Raw genomic sequence first — 17,395 nt, forward strand, 5'->3', positions numbered from 1 at the left:
TGAGTCAAGGTTTGAGCATGAGGGAAAAGGAAGAACAATTCCCTCCCCTCAATACTTAATAAAATATAAAGTATTGCTAAAATGGTTCATAAAATTTTTCCTGATTGTACATTCCCTTGAAATATTCTTTTCATTGTAATATATGTTATATTCCTCTTAGTTGCAAAAACTTCAGTATAATGTCGCCCTTTTCCAGCCCTACTACAACTAAACTGATCTGCCTGGCTTCAATTACATCTCTATCTCAAACCCAATGTTAGGGACATTAATGTTTGCTTGATGAATGCTATAGGTTTCATTTCAACATGTAACTCCAATCCAGTAGGATCATATGATCTATAAATTAAACCAAATTGTAAATGCCAATTTCTAAAAATAAATAATGGCTTTTGAAGAGTTTAATAAACATAGGACACATCTATCCCAGTTATGAAACAATTTACACAACAAATCAGAAGATTTTCCTAAGCAGAGATATATCTCTATATAAAATAGCAGCAATATTGATATACATACCATTGACTATAGCATCACTCTCATCTCTATTAACAGTCTCAATAGCACCATAAGATCTTAGTAATTCTTTCATTTTTTCATCATCTGCTTCATCCAAAGCACTCTTCTGTTTTTGATCTTTTTGATTAGGGTTTGCTCCATTTTGTAGTAGAATCTCAGCTGCCTACAAAGTATTTTTTCAAAGTTATCTCTACAGACACCAAAGATGAATAATTTCTGTTTTCATCACAAACACCACTGCCAAGCATTAAAAGCTATCAAAAGAATGTTTTCAAACTCAGGTCAAGAAAATTTTTTATTAAAATTGATGTGGCAATTGCAAACTAATCCAATTTGGACTGATTAGTCCTCACAAGAGAACCAAACACAAAGACATGAAAGTACAATATGCTGCCTTCATTGCAGTAAGAAGTAGGCATAGGGAGGTTCAGTTCTAGATCGGTACTGCCCAGTAGAATTTTCTGTGATAATAAAATGTTCTATATCTGCTCTGTCCAATAAGGTAACCACTAGTCACATGTGGCTTTTGAGCATTTGAAATGTGGCTAATGTGACTGAAGAAATCAATTTTTTATTTAATTAATTTAAATTTAAATAGCAAAAGTACCTAGTAGCTACTATATTGGGCAGCACAGATCTAGATGTTGTGCAGATTAAGCCACTTGCATCTTAACGTGGAATTTCTGACGCCCAGAAGGATTTAATTTATCTCTCTAACACAGCCTCTTGTCTTTCCCCAAGCTGCTGGAGGATAGGGTAGAAAAGTGGGGTAAGAGTTGCTTCAGGGCTATATTACAAACAACATTATAAATTGTGATTAGACATAGTTGAATAACATTCTATTTAGACAATATTTTATGTACTCTACTTGTTCAGGACGTTTTATGAACTAGCTTAGAAACCTAATACCCATTTTAATATTCTCCATACAGAAATATGTGTTCTAAATAGCAAACTTAAAAAAAAATTCAACTTTTATTTTAGATTCAAATGATATATGTGCAGGTTTACTACATGGGTATATTGCATGATGCTGAGGTTTGGGGTATGAATTATCCCATCACCCAGGTAGTAAGCATAGTACTCAACAGAGAGTTTTTCAACTCTTGCCGTCCTCCCTCTCTCCCCTACCTCGTAGTCTCAGTATCTACTGTTCTCATCTTTATGATCATGTGTACCCAATGTTTAGCTTGCACTTATAAGTGAGAACATGTGGAATTTGATTTTTCTGTTCCTGCATTAATTCACTCAGAATAATGGCCTCCAGCTGCATCCATGTTGCTGCAAAGGACATGATTTTTTGTTTATGGCTGCATAGTATTCCATGGTATATGTGTACCACATCTTATTTATCCAATTCACCAATGATGGTCACCTTGGGTGATTTAATGTCTTTGCTATTGTGAATAGTGCTGCAATTAACACACAAGTGTATATGTCTTTTTGGTAGAACAATTTGTTTTCCTTTGGGTACATACCCAGTAATGGAATTGCTAGGTTGAATGGTAGTTCCAAGTTCTCTGAGAAATCTCCAAACTGTTTTCCACAGTAGTTGAACTAATTTACATTCCTACCAACAGTGTACAAGTGTTCTCTTTTCTTCACAACCTTACCAGCATCTGTTATTTTCTGACCTTTAAATAATAGCCATTCTGACTGGTGCGAGATGATATCTCATTCTGGCTTTGATTTGTACTTCTCTGATGACTAGTGGTACTGAACATTTTTTTCATATGTTTGTTGGCCACTTGTATACTAAATGACAAACTTCACAGAATATTAAAGATAGAGGGAAACTTCGAAACCCCATCATTTTAGCTAAAAGGAAACTAAGGTCAAAGAGGATGTGATATTTTGGGGAGAAAAAAATGTCTAATATAAATAAGGTTGCTCTGAGTAACTCTTAAATTGTGTGTTAAAAATAAATTTATAATTGACCAATGTAAAGAATCGTTACTAACTAGATTATGGTATAAGTCAGCCAGGAACAGTGGTTTATGCCTGTAATCCCAGCACTTCGGGAGGCTGAGGCAGGAAACTGCTTGAGCCCAGGAGTTCGAGACCAGCCTGTGCAACATAGGGAGACCTCTTCTCTATAAAAAAGTAAAAAATTAGCTGGGTGTGGTGGCACACACTTCTAGTCTCAGCTACTTGAGAGGTTGAAGCTGGAGGATTACTTGACCCTGGGAGGTCAAGGCTTCAGTGAGCTGTGTGATAGTGCCACTGTACCTTGTCTCAAAAAAAAAAATTATAGTATAAGTCAATTAGTGAAAAACAATGATCCCACTTGCAAGAGGCAAGCAAGTAACTCACCACTGAAAAACTTTCTAGTTAGGAAAAGATGGTCAGGATTTTGTTAAAATGGAGACATACTATATGCCAGTGGATAAAGTATGTTTTTAATCTTTCTGCTTGTGTCCAAGGATAAAGAGGCAGATAAATTTAGGAGCAAATGGGCCAGTAGAAATTATTAAGGATAACCTCTTAGTTTTTCTACTAGTCTAGAGGTAGCATAGCATAAAGAAAAAACTGAACCAAATCACAAAGACGCAGAAGAAAAAAAATGAAGAAACAAAGAATCTATAAAACAACTAGTGATAACAACATGACGGGAAGAAAACCTCACGTATCAATATTAACCTTGAATGTAAGTGAATTAAATGCTCCACTTAAAAGATATAGATAGGCAGAATGGATTTTTAAAATGAACCAACTATATGCTGCCCACAAGAAACTCACTTTACTGGTAAAGACACATAGACAAAAGATAAAGGGTGCGGTGGCTCACGCCTGTAATCCCAGCACTTTGGGAGGCCGAGACAGGCGGATCATTAGGTCAGGAGTTTGAGACCAGCCTGACCAACATGGTAAAACCCCGTCTCTACTAAAAATACAAAAATTAGCTGAGTGTGGTGGCGTGCGCCTGTAATCCCAGCTACTTAGGAGGCTGAGGCAGGAGAATCACTTGAACCTGGGAGGCAGAGGTTGCAGTGAGCTGAGATTGCATCACTACACTCCAGCCTGCTGACAGAGTGAGACTCTATATAAAAAAAAAAAAAAAGATAGAGGGGTGGAAAATGATATTTAATGATAAAGGGTGATATCAATTCAACAAAAGGTTATAATAATATTAAATACATATGTACTCAACACTGGAGCACCCAGATTCATAAAACAAATGTTACTAAACCTAAAGAAAGATACAGATAGCAATACAATAATACTGGGGCACTTGAACATCCGAGTCACAGCACTAGACAGATCACTGAGACAGAAAATCAAGAAAGAAACACAGGAGTTAAATTGAACTTTAGACCAAATGGACCCAACAGACACTTACAGAACATTCTATCCAACATCGCAGAATATACCTTCTTCTCATCAGCACATGAAACATTCTCCCAAATAGACCATATGTTAGGCCACAAAACTAGCCTCAATAAAAATGGAAAAAAATTGAAATCATATCAAGTATTTTCTCAGAACACAATGGAATAAAACTAGAAATCAATATCAAGAGGAATTCTCAAAACTATACAAATACATGAAATTAAACAACACACTCCTAGATAATTTTTGGTTCAATGACAAAATTAAGAAAGAATTAAAATAATTTTTGAAACAAATGAAAATGGAGTCAGAATATACCAAAACCTCTGGGATACAGCCAAAGCAGCGCTAAGAGGGAGGTTTATAGCATCAAATGCCTATATCAAAAGAATAGAAAGATTACAGATTAACACCCTAACATCATACCTCAAGGAACTAGAAAAACAAGAAAAAACCAAACCCAAAGCTAGCAGAAGAAAAGAAATAACAAAGATCAGAGTAGAACTAAATGATATGGAGACCAAACCAAACAAAACAAAAACAAAGGATCACTGAATTGAAAAGTCAGTTCTTTGAAAAGATAAACAAGTTGATAAATTGCTATCTAGACTAACCAAGAAGAAAGAATATCTAAATAAACATAATGAGAAATGAAGAAGACATTGTAACTGATACCACAGAGATACAAAAGATCATCAGACTCTACCATACACTCACAAACTAGAAAACCTAAAGGAAATGGATAAATTCCTGGAAACATAAAACCTCGAAAGACTGAACCTTGAAGAACTAGATATCCTGAACAGACCAATAAAAAAAATCCTCCCAACAAAAAAAAAAGCCTAGGTCAAGATGAACTCACAGTAAATTCTATCAAACATACAAAGAAGAACTGGTACCAATTTTAATGAAACTGTTCCAAAAAAAAACTGAGCAGGAGAGAATCCTCCCTAGCTCATTCCATGAAGCCAGTATCACCCTGACACCAAAGTCTGACAAGAACACAAACAAACAGAAAAAAAACTACAGACCAATATCCCTGATGAAGATAGATGCAGAAACCCTTAACAAAATACTAGCAAACTGAATCCACCAGCACATCAAAAAGATAACACACCATGACCAAGTGGGTTGTATTCCAGGGATGCAAGGATGGCTCAACATATACAAACCAATAAATGTGATTTATTACATAAACACAATTAAAGACAAAAATTACATAATCATTTCAATAGATGTGGAAAAAGCATTTGATAAAATTGAACATCCCCTCATGATAAAAACTCTCAACAAACTAGGCATAGTAGAAAAAACATACCTCAAAATAATAAAGGCCATATGCAACAAACTTATGGCCAATATCATATTGAATTGGGAAGGGCTGAAAACAATTCCCCTAAGAACTAGAATAAGACAAGAATGCCCACTTACACCACTCCTGTTCAACTTAGTACTGGAAGTCCTAGCCAGAGCAATCAGGCAAAAGAAAGAAAGAAAAGGCATCCAAGTTGGAAAAGAGGAAGTCAGAAATAATTTATTTCTGTTCACTGATAATATGCTCGTAAACCTAGAAAAGCCTAAAGACTCCTCAAAAAATTCTTAAGTTTGATAATTGAATTGAGTAAGCAGTAAGATTTCAGAATACAAAATCAATATTCAAAAATGAGTGTCATTTCTATACACCAATAATAATCCAGCTGAAAACCAAATCAAGAAGGCAATCCCATTTACAATAGCTACAAAAAATAAAATAAAATACCTAGGAATATAGTTAACCAAGGAGGTGAAAGAAAGAAAAATACAACACGGATGAAAGAAATTGCAGGGGACATAAACTAATGGAAAAACACTTCATGTTCATGAATCAGAATAATTAATATAATTAAAATGAGAATACTTCCAAAACAATATACAGATTCAATGCAATTCCTATCAAAATGCCAACATCGCTTTTCACAGAATGAGAAAAAAACCATCCTAAAATTCATATGGAACCAAAAAACAGTCTGAATAGCAGAAGCAATCCTAAGCAAATAGAACAAAGCTAGAGAGAGCACATTACCTGACTTCAAATTATACTGCAAGGTTATAATAATCAAAAAGCATGGTACTGGCATAAAAACAGACACATAGATCAAGGTAAAAGAATAAAAGAATAGAGAACCCAAAAATAAAGCCACATATCTATAGCTAACTGATCTTTGACAATGCTGACAAGAACATACACTGGGAAAAAGATATCTTTTTCAATAAATAGTGTTGGGAAAATTGGATTGCCATACGTAGAAGAATGTCTCTAATCATATAAAAAATCAAATATAGACAAATCAAAGACTTAAATTTGTGATCTGAAACTATAAAAATTCTATAAGAAAACTTAGGGAAAACTCTTCTTGACATTTGTCTAGGCAAAGAATTCATAAGACCTTGAAACCATAAGCAACGAAAACAAAAACAGACATATGAAACTATATTAAACTAAAAAGCTTCTGCATGGCAAAGGGAATAATAAAAAAAAGTGAACAGACAACCTGCAGATAGGGGGAAAATATTTGCAAACTATGAATCCAACAGGGACTAATATCCAGAATTTACAAGTAACTCAAACAACTCAACAACAATAACAAAACAACAAATAGCCCCATTAAAAAACTGGCAAAGGACATGAATAGACATTTCTTAAAAGAAGACCCACGAATGACCAACAAGCATATGAAAAAATGCTCAACATCATTAATCATCAGAGAAATGTTAAAGCCACAATGAAATACCATCTTATGCCAATAGAATGCCTATTATTAAAAAGACAAAAAACAACAGATGTTGATGAGTATGTGGAGAAAAGGGAATGCTTATACACTGTTGGTGGGAATGCAAATTAGTACAACCTCTATGGAAAACAGTATGGAGATTTCCCAAATAACTAAAAGTAGAACTGCCTTTCAATCCAGCAATCTCACTACTGGGTATATACCCACAGGAAAAGAAATCATCATATTAAAAAGATACTTGTACTCAAATGTTCACTGTAACACTATTCACAATAGCAAAGATATGGAATCAACCTTAGTGTCCACCAGTGGATGACCGGATAAATAAAATGTGGTAAATAACACACACACACGCACACACGTGCATGCACACACACACAAAATGGAATACTACTCAGCCATAACAAAGAATGGGATCATGTCTTCTGCAGCAACATGGATGGAACTGGAGGCCATCCATGTTGTTAAGTGAAAACAATTCAGGAACAAGTCAAATACTGGATGTTCTCACTTATAAGTAAGAGCCAAATAATGTGTATACATGGACAGAGTGTGGAATAATAGTCACTGGAGACTCAGAAGGGTAGGGGGTGGGAGGGGGTTGAGGGATGAGAAATTAATTAATGAGTGCAATGTACACTATTTGAGTGATGGTTACATTAAAAGCCCAGAATTTATCCCTGCTCAATATATCCATTTAACAAAACTGCATTTGTACCCTTTAAATTTATACAAATATATTAAAAAAGAAAAATACCCTTGTTTTAAAGCCAAGCACAAACCTCACTCCTGGTACTTATTAGCTACATCCTTGGCCAAGTTACTTATCATCTCTAACTTCATTTTTATTATCTATGAGAATTAAATAGTGAGCCCTTGTAAAATGTCTGGCACATAGTAGTCACCTAATAAAACTAGCTCCATAATACCCTGCTTTCTTTTAGAGAGTGAAAAGACAGCAGATAATGGCAGGTGAAAAAGTATTCTGCAAAGACTTTTGATAAAATCTGCATTTGTACACCTTAGTGAAGTCTGAGTAAAGGTATGAAACGATAAAATATTTTATTTTTCTATTTATTTAGATTTTATGAAGATTTTATTTATCTGTTTTTAAAAGATGGGGTCAGAAACTACCTCAATCCAGTAGTTTCTAAGCCTGATTGATCAGTAAGATAACTTGTTGCATTCTTTTAAAACACAGATTCCTGAGACCATCTCGAGATTAATTTAGCAAACTGGAGATGTAGGCCTTAATCTGCAGAAATTTATTTCAAACATTATATGGAGGAGACAGAAAGTGAATTTCAGAAAAGTAAACTTCTAGAGTCTTAAAAACATATGCTATATTAATAATGACTATTCTGCCAATGTGTTAAGATGAGGCCTTCTCTAGGCCTCGACTTTAATATACAAAAAAAGATTCACTTAATATATTAATTTGGAGAACACAGAGAACTCAGCTCAGAGACACTGGGACCCTGGATAGTGTTTTTCAGTAATAGTCATCCACAGGAAAAGTCTAAACAGCAACAGGGTAACAAGGCACTAAACAGGAAAAGCTAAAGCTAAAGTTGGGAGGGAGCTCTAGGTAACATGATGGAGTGGGCCTGAGGGCCGAAGAGATTGGCAAAGATTATGTGACCAAGAAATAGGCCTTTTACCTGTTTAAAAAAAAATCAGGCTTACTGAAGTGATCACGACTACAATAATGACTTAGAGACATTCTACCATCACAAAAAATCCTTTCTGCCCCTCTGCAATCACTTACCAAGACTCTTTGGTCTCTGGGAACCAATGATCTGCCTCTATTGCTTTACATTTTGCTTTTTGTAGAATTTCACATGAATGAGCTCAGAATGCAGTTTTTGTGTCTGGTCTCTTTGACTTAGCATGATGATTTTAAGATTCACCCATATTGTTGTGTATATCAACAGTTTGTTTCTCACCTGTAATCCCAGCACTTTGGGAGGCCAAGGTGGGTGGATCACCTGAGGTCAGGAGTTCGAGACCAGCCTGGCCAACATGCTGAAACCCCGTCTCTACTAAAAATACAAAAATTAGGTGGGCATGTTGGAGCATGCCTGTAATCCCAGCTACTTGGGAGGCTGAAGCAGGAGAATTGCTTGAACCCGGGAGGCAGAGGTTGCAGTGACCAGAGAACGTGACACTGCACCCCAATATGGGTGACAGAACAAGACTCCATCTCAAAAAAAAAGTTTGTTCCTTTTAACAACTTATTCATTTACCAGCTGATAGACATTTGGGGTCCCTTCCAGTTAGAGACTATTATGAATAAAGCTGCTATCCACATTCTAGTACAAGTCTTTGTGTGGACAAAAAGCTTTCATTTTTCTTAGGTAAAAAAACACCAAGGGGTGGTCCAATACTTTGTAAATATGTAATATGTTTCAGGTAATAAAAATTGCCAAATTGTTTTTCCAAGTGTACCATTTTGCACGAAAGGGATAGAAAATCTATTTAATGAAATAATAGCTGAAAAGTTCCCAAGTCTGGCAAGAGATTTAGACATCCAGACACAGGAAGCTCAGCAATCCCCAAATAGAGACAAGTTGTAATTTTATATATGATGAAAATTAAGGGTTCATTTAAAAAAATGGAAATCCAAGGATTTCAATTCCATTTGCTGAAAGAGTATACTTTCTCTATTGAATTGCCTTTGCACCATTGTTAAAAATCAACTAATTGGGAGGCTGAGGTGGGCAGATCAACTGAGGTCAGGAGTTCAAGACCAGCCTGGCCAAAATGGTGAAACCCCATCTCTACTAAAACTACAAAAAAATTAGTTGGGTGTGGTGGTGTGTGCCTGTGGTCCCAGCTACTCAGGAGGCTGAGGCAGGAGAATCACCTGAACCCAGGAGGTAGAGGTTGCAGGAAGCAGAGATTGTGCCACTGCACTCCAGCCTGGGTGGCAAAGTGAGACTCCATCTCAAAAAAAAAAAAAAAAATCAACTGAACACATATATGAGGGTCTATTTCTCAATGCTTGTATTTTGTTCAATTGTTGTATAAGTAAAACTCAGTGTTCCTAAACTGGGGATGATTTTTGTGCCCCAGGATAAATTCAGGAATGTCTAGAGACATTTTTTGGTTGTCACAACTAGAGGATATGGGTGCTTCTGGCATCTAGTGAGTAGAGGTCAGAGAAGCTATGAGACATCCTAAAAGTACAGGACAGCACTCTTTAAGAAAGAAATATCTAGCCCCAAATGTCATTTATGTCAAGGTTCAGAAATCCTAATCTAACTTATGCTAGTAACATACTGTCTTGATTACTATAGCTATGGAATACATATCTACACACTATAGATAATATAAATCGTCCAACATTATTCTTTTTCAAATTTGTCTCAGCTATTTTAAGCTATTTTGAGTTCCATATCAATTTTAGAATCAGCCTAACAATTTCTTCAAAAATTCCTGTTAAGACTATTGTATTTGTACTGAATCTATAGATCAATTTGGGTGGAAATGACACATGAAAAATACTGAGTCTTCTAGGCCATGAACACAATATATCACTTCATTTATTTAGGTCTTCTTTAATTACTCTCAGCAATGTTTTGAGGTATTCAGTGTAAAGGTGTAAAGGTCTTGGACATATTTTGTAACATTTACCCCCAATTATTTAATATTTTGATATAATGATAAATGGTATTTTTAAATTTTCAACTTCCAATTGTTCATTGCTGTTATAGAGAAATACAGTTGAGTCCGTGTTAGATTCACTTATTAATTCTAGTAAATTATTTTATCATGTCATATGAAATAGAAGCAGTTTTTCATTGTCATATTATATGAAACAAAGAGAGCTTTCCTTTTTACTTTCCAAATACATGTGCATCTTTTATTTATTTTTCTTCCATTACTGAACTGGCTAGAAACTTCAGCATAATACTGATCAGAAGTGGTGAGAGCACTGCATGTTCTCACTCATAAGTGGGAGTTGAACAATGAAAACACATGGACACAGGGAGGGGAACATCACACACTGGGGCCTGGCAGGGGGTGGGGGACTAGGGGAGGGATAGCATTAGGAGAAATACCTAATGTAGATGGTGGGTTGATGGATGCAGCAAACCACCATGGCACATGTATACTTACGTAACAAACCTGCACGTTCTGCATATGTATCCCAAAAGTATAATAAAAATAAAAAAGAAGTGAGAGCATTCCTCAGGATAATGTTGAAAAACCTGATTTTCCCACTATGAAACTTTGATCATTATTTAAGTGGTTTCACTTTATTTTATTTATTTATTTATTTTTGAGATGGAGTCTGGCTCTGCTGCCCAGGCTGGAGTGCAGTGGTACGATCTTGGCTCACTGCAAGCTCCGCCTCCCAGGTTCAGCCATTCTCCTGCCTCAGCCTCCCAAGTAGCTGAGACTACAGGCACCTGCCATCATTCCCAGCTAATTTTTTTTTTTTTTTTGGTATTTTTAGTAGAGTTGGGGTTTCACTGTGTTAGCCAGGATGATCTCGATCTCCTGACCTCATGATCTGCCTGCTTCGGCCTCCCAAAGTACTGGGATTACAGGCATGAGCCAACATGCCTGGCCAAGTGGTTTCACTTTAAGTGGTCTTTTCCCTCTATAAAAAACCAGCAGGTTCATCACTTTAATAATTCTGTTTCCTTTCTTCCATTTTGTGACCATATGATCTTGATAATTTGTCTATTCTTTTTAAATTTAAATACTGTAAAGGCCAAAGGGCTTCTAACATGGTTTGGCTTTGAGTCCCCACTCAAATCTCATGTTGAATTGTAATCCCCAGTGTTGGAGGTGGGGTCTGGTGGGAGGTGATTGGATCATGAGGGTGGTTTCTAATGGTTTAGCCCCATCCCCCTAGTGCTACCTCTTGACAGAGTCCTCACAAGATCTGGTGGTTTAAAAGTGTGTAGCATCACCCCCTTCCCTCTCTGTCTCTGCTCCACCATGTGAATAAGTGCCTACTACCCTTCACCTTCCACCATGATTTTAAGTTTCCTGAGGTCTCCTCAGTCATGCTTCCTGTATAGCTTGCAGAACTGTGAGTCAATCAAACCTTTTTTCTTCATAAAGCACCCAGCCTCAGGTAGTTTTTTATAGCAATGCAAGAACAAACTAATACAGCTTCTTTTAGCCAAAAGAAGCCACATCGGACATTAGCTCACCCACTCTGGTATATTCTTAATCATTAATTCACATCTTTTAGCAGATCATAAATTCAGTAATAACATCCTCCACATGGCTATGTGTAGGCTGAAAACAGCAAGAATATCCTTTCACAAAATTACATTAAAAAGTTACCAGGTTCTTAAAATATCTAGAGATAGATAAATAGGTATCAATGAAGGATCCAAGGAATTTTTTTATATTGTTCTTGATGGTTTCCTTAACTATTTTTTCAAACCAATAATTATTACTGAAGAGGTCCCAAGATGGCTGAATAGGAAAAGCTCCAGTCTACAGCTCCCAGCATGAGCGATGCAGAAGATGGTTGATTTCTGCATTTCCAACGGAGGTACCAGGTTCATCTCACTGGGGCTTGTCGGACAGTGGGTGCAGCCCACGGAGTGTGAGCCGAAGCAGGGCAGGGCATCACTTTACCCAGGAAGTGCAAGGGGTTAGGGAATTCCCTTTCCTAGCCAAGGGAAGCCATGACAGATGGTACCTGGAAAATCGGGACACTCCTACCCTAATACTGAGCTTTTCCAGTGGTCGTAGTGTGTTCAGAATTGGTGGGTTCTTGGTCTCTCTGACTTCAAGAATGAAGCTGTGGACCCTCGTGGTGAGTGTTACAGTTCTTAAAGATGGCGTGTCCAGAGTTTGTTCCTTCTGATGTTCGGACGTGTCCAGAGTTTCTTCCTACTGGTGGGTTCTTGGTCTCACTGACCTCAGGAGTGAAGCCGCAAACCTTTGCAGTGAGTGTTACAGCTCTTAAAGGTGGCACGTCTGGAGTTGTTTGTTTCTCCCAGTGGGTTCGTGGTCTCGCTGGCTTCAAGAGTGAAGCTGCAGACCTTCACCATGAGTGTTACAGCTCATTAAGGTAGTGCAGACCCAAAGAGTGAGCAGCAGCAAAATTTATTGCAAAGAGCAAAAGAACAAAGCTTCCACAGTGTGGAAAGGGACCTCAGTGGGTTGCTGTTGCTGGCTCTGGTGGCCTGCTTTTATTCCCTTATCTGGCCCCACCTACATCCTACTGATTGGTCCACTTTAAAGAGAGCTGATTGGTCCATTTTACAGAGAGCTGATTGGTCCATTTTACAGAGAGCTGACTGGTCCGTTTTGACAGAGTGCTGATTGGTGCATTTACAAACCTTTAGCTAGACGTAGAGCGCTGATTGGTGCATTTACAATCCTTTAGCTAGACACAAAAGTTCTCCAAATTCCCACCAGATTATCTAGACACAGAGTGCTGATTGGTGCATTTACAAACCTTTAGCTAGACACAGAGTGCTGATTGGTGCATTTACAAACCTTTAGCTAGACAGAAAAGTTCTCCGGGTCCCCACCCAATTAGCTAGACACAGAGCACTGATTGGTGCGTTTACAATCCTTTAGCTAGACAGAAAAGTTCTCCAAGTCCCCACCCATCCCAGAAGCCCAGACAGCTTCACCTCTCACTGGCACTCACCACGGGACTTTGCAGCACCTAGCCCGGGCACTCCGGTAGCCCAGAGGGAGCTCGTCCCACACAACCAAGAGGAAAAGAGGGGAAGTGAGAAAGAGATGGAGAACCGCCATTTTGGCCAACGGCCCCACAAAGAGAGAACGGTGGTCCATGCACGGGACCCAGCCTCCTATCAAGCCCAGCAGGTACTGGCTGGCTGTGCCAAGTGCAGGGTCCACCGAGCCCACACCCACCCAGAACCAGCACCGGCCCGTGAGCACCACACGCAGCCCCAGCTCCGACCTGTGCCTCTCCCTCCACACCTCCCCATGAGAAGAGGGAGTGGGCTCCATGCTCTGCCAACCCCAGAAAGGGGCCCCCACAGTGCAACGGCAGGCTGAAGGGCCCCTGGAGCGTGGCAAGAGTGGATGCCGAGGCCGAGGAGGCACCGAGAGCGAGCGAGGGTTGCTAGCACGTTATCACCTCTCATTAGCAAACAGCACACCAGGAGATTATATCCTGTGCATGGGTCAGAGGGTCCCACGCCCACAGAGCCTCACTCACTGCTAGCACAGCAGTCTGAGATCAAACTGCAAGGTGGCAGCGAGGCTGGGGGAGGGGCGTCCACCATTGCTGAGGCTTGAGAAGGTAAACAAAGCAGCGGGGAGGCTCAAAATTGGTGGAGCCCACCACAGCTCAAGGAAGGCTGCCTGCCTCTGTAGACTCCACCTCTGGGGGCAAGGCATAGCTGAACAAACAATGGCAGAAACTTCGGCAGACTTAAACGTCCCTGTCTGACAGCTTTGAAGAGAGTAGTGGTTCTCCCAGCATGGAGTTTGAGATCTGAGAACGGACAGACTGCCTCCTCAAGTGGGTCTGTGACCCCCAAGTAGCATAACTAGGAGGCACCTCCCATTAGGGGCCGACTGACACCTCATACTGCCAGGTGTCCCTCTGAGACAAAGCTTCCAGAGGAAGGATCAGGCAGCAACATTTGCCGTTCTCCAATATTGGCTGTTCTGCAGCCTCCGCTGGTGATACCCAGGCAAACAGGGTCTGGAGTGGAACTCCAGCAACTCCCAACAGGCCTGCAGCTGAGGGTCCTGACTGTTAGAAGGAAAACTAACAAACAGCAAGGACATCCACACCAAAACCCCATCTGCATGTCACCATCATCAAAGACCAAAGGTAGATAAAACCACAAAGATGGGGAGAAACCAGAGCAGAAAAGCTGAAAATTCTAAAAATCAGAGCGCCTCTTCTCCTCCAAAGGAACGCAGCTCCTCGCCAGCAATGGAGCAAAGATGGACAGAGAATGACTTTGACGAGTTGAGGGAAGAAGGCTTCAGACGATCGGTAAGAACAAACTTCTCTGAGCTAAAGGAGGATGCTCAAACTCATCGCAAAGAACCTAAAAACCTTGAAAGAAGATTAGACGAATGGCTAACTAGAATAAACAGCATAGAGAAGACCTTAAATAACCTGATGGAGCTGAAAACCATGGCACGAGAATTATGTGACGCATGCACAAGCTTCAGTAGCCCATTCGATCAACTGGAAAAAGGGTATCAGTGATTGAAGATCAAATGAATGAACTGAAGCGAGAAGAGAAGTTTAGAGAAAAAAGAGTAAAAAGAAATGAACAAAGCCCCCAGGAAATATGGGACTATGTGAAAAGACCAAATATACATCTGATCGGTGTACCTGAAAGTGACGGGAGAATGGAACCAAGTTGGAAAACACTCTGCAGGATATTATCCAGGAGAACTTCCCCAATCTAGCAAGGCAGGCCAACATTCAAATTCAGGAAATACAGAGAACGCCACAAAGATACTCCTCAAGAAGAGCAACTCCAAGACACATCATTGTCAGATTCACCAAAGTTGAAATGAAGGAAAAAATGTTAAGGGCAGCCAGAGAGAAAGGTCGAGTTACCCACAAAGGGAAGCCCATCAGACTAACAGTGGATCTCTTGGCAGAAACTCTACAAGCCAGAAGAGAGTGGGGGCCAATATTCAACATTCTTAAAAAAATATTCAACCCAGAATTTCATATCCAGCCAAACTAAGCTTCCTAAGTAAAGGAGAAATAAAATCCTTCACAGACAAGCAAATGCTGAGAGATTTTGTCACCATCAGGCCTGCCTTACAAGAGCTCCTGAAGGAAGCACTAAACATGCAAAGGAACAACCGGTACCAGCCACTGCAAAAACATGCCAAATTGTAAAGACCGTCGATGCTAGGAAGAAACTGCATCAACTAACGAGCAAAATAACCAGCTAACACCATAATGACAGGATCAAATTCACACATAACTATATTAACCTTAAATGTAAATGAGCTAACTGCTCCAATTAAAAGACACAGATTGGCAAATTGGATAGAGTCAAGACCTATCAGTGTGCTCTATTCAAGAGACCCATCTCACGTGCAGAGACACACATAGGCTCAAAATAAAAGGATGGAGGAAGATCTACCAAGCAAATGGAAAACAAAAAAAAAAACAAGTATTGCAATTCTAGTCTCTGCTAAAACAGACTTTAAACCAACAAAGACCAAAAGAGACAAAGAAGGCCATTACATAATGGTAAAGGGATCAATTCAACAAGAAGAGCTAACTATCATAAATATATATATGCACCCAATACAGGAGCACCCAGATTCATAAAGCAACTCCTTAGTGTACTACAAAGAGACTTAGACTCCCACACAATAATAATGGCAGACTTTAACACCCCACTGTCAACATTAGACAGATCAACGAGACAGAAAGTTAACAAGGATATCCAGGAATTGAACTCAGCTCTGCATCAAGGGGACCTAATAGACATCTACAGAACTCTCCACCCCAAATCAACAGAATATACATTCTTTTCAGCACCACACCACACCTATTCCAAAATTGACCACATAGTTGGAAGTAAAGCACTCCTCAGCAAATATAAAAGAACGGAAATTATAACAAACTGTCTCTCAGACCACAGTGCAATCAAACTAGAACTCAGGATTAAGAAACTCACTCAAAACCGCTCAAATACATGGAAACTGAACAACCTGCTCCTGAATGACTACTGGGTACATAACGAAATGAAGGCAGAAATAAGGAAGTTCTTGGAAACCAACGAGAACAGACACACTACATACCAGAATCTCGGGGACACATTTAAAGCAGTGTGTAGAGGGAAATTTATAGCACTAAATGCCCACAAGAGAAAGCTGGAAAGATCAAAATAGACACCCTAACATCACAATTAAAAGAACTAGAGAAGCAAGAGCAAACACATTCAAAAGCTAGCAGAAGACAAGAAATAACTAAGATCAGAGAAGAACTGAAGGAGATAGAGACACAAAAAACCCTTCAAAATATTAATGAATCCAGGAGCTGGTTTTTTGAAAGCATCAACAAAATTGATATACCACTAGGAAAACTAATAAAGAAGAAAAGAGAGAAGAATCAAATAGACACAATAAAAATGATAAAGGTGATATCACCACCGATTCCACAGAAATACAAACTACCATCAGAGAATACTATAAACACCTATACGCAAATAAATAAGAAAATCTAGAAGAAATGGATAAATTCCTCGACACATACACCCTCCCAAGACTAAACCAGGAAGAAGTTGAATCCCTGAATGGACCAATAACAGGCTCTGAAATTGAGGCAATAATTAATAGCCTACCAACCAAAAAAAGTCCAGGACCAGACGGATTCACAGCTAAATTCTACCAGAGGTACGAAGAGGAGCTGGTACCATTCCTTCTGAAACTATTCCAATCAATAGAAAAAGAGGGAATCCTCCCTAACTCATTTGATGAGGCCAGCATCATCCTGATACCAAAGCCTGTTGTGTCTCTACACAACAAAAAAAGAGAATTTTGGACCAATATCCCTGATGAACACCAATGCAAAATCCTCAGTAAAATACTGGCAAACCGAATCCAGTAGCACATCAAAAAGCTTATCCACCGTGATCAAGTGGGCTTCATCCCTGGGATACAAGGCTGGTTCAACATATGCAAATCAATAAACGTAATCAATCATATGAACAGAACCAAAGACAAAAACCCCATGATTATCTCAACAGTTGCAGAAAAGGCCTGCAACAAAAGTCAACAGCCTTCATGCTAAAGACTCTCAATAAACTAGGTATTGATGGGACGTA

General features: G+C 38.9%; 1 protein-coding gene across 15 annotated transcripts in view; it reads right to left on the bottom strand.

Moving 5' to 3' along the window:
* The window catches only part of ANKRD31 (ankyrin repeat domain 31), a 168,582-nt gene that overhangs the window by 49,322 nt on the left and 101,865 nt on the right, over window positions 1-17,395 (bottom strand). For all 15 annotated transcript variants that reach the window (NM_001164443.1, NM_001372053.1, XM_017009319.2 and 12 more), the window contains one exon: window positions 517-679. In NM_001164443.1, coding sequence (NP_001157915.1) covers window positions 517-679 — 163 coding nt within the window. The remainder of the gene's footprint in view (window positions 1-516; window positions 680-17,395) is intronic.

This window comes from Homo sapiens, chromosome 5 (assembly GCF_000001405.40).
Source record: "Homo sapiens chromosome 5, GRCh38.p14 Primary Assembly".
NCBI classification, from domain to species: domain Eukaryota; kingdom Metazoa; phylum Chordata; class Mammalia; order Primates; family Hominidae; genus Homo; species Homo sapiens.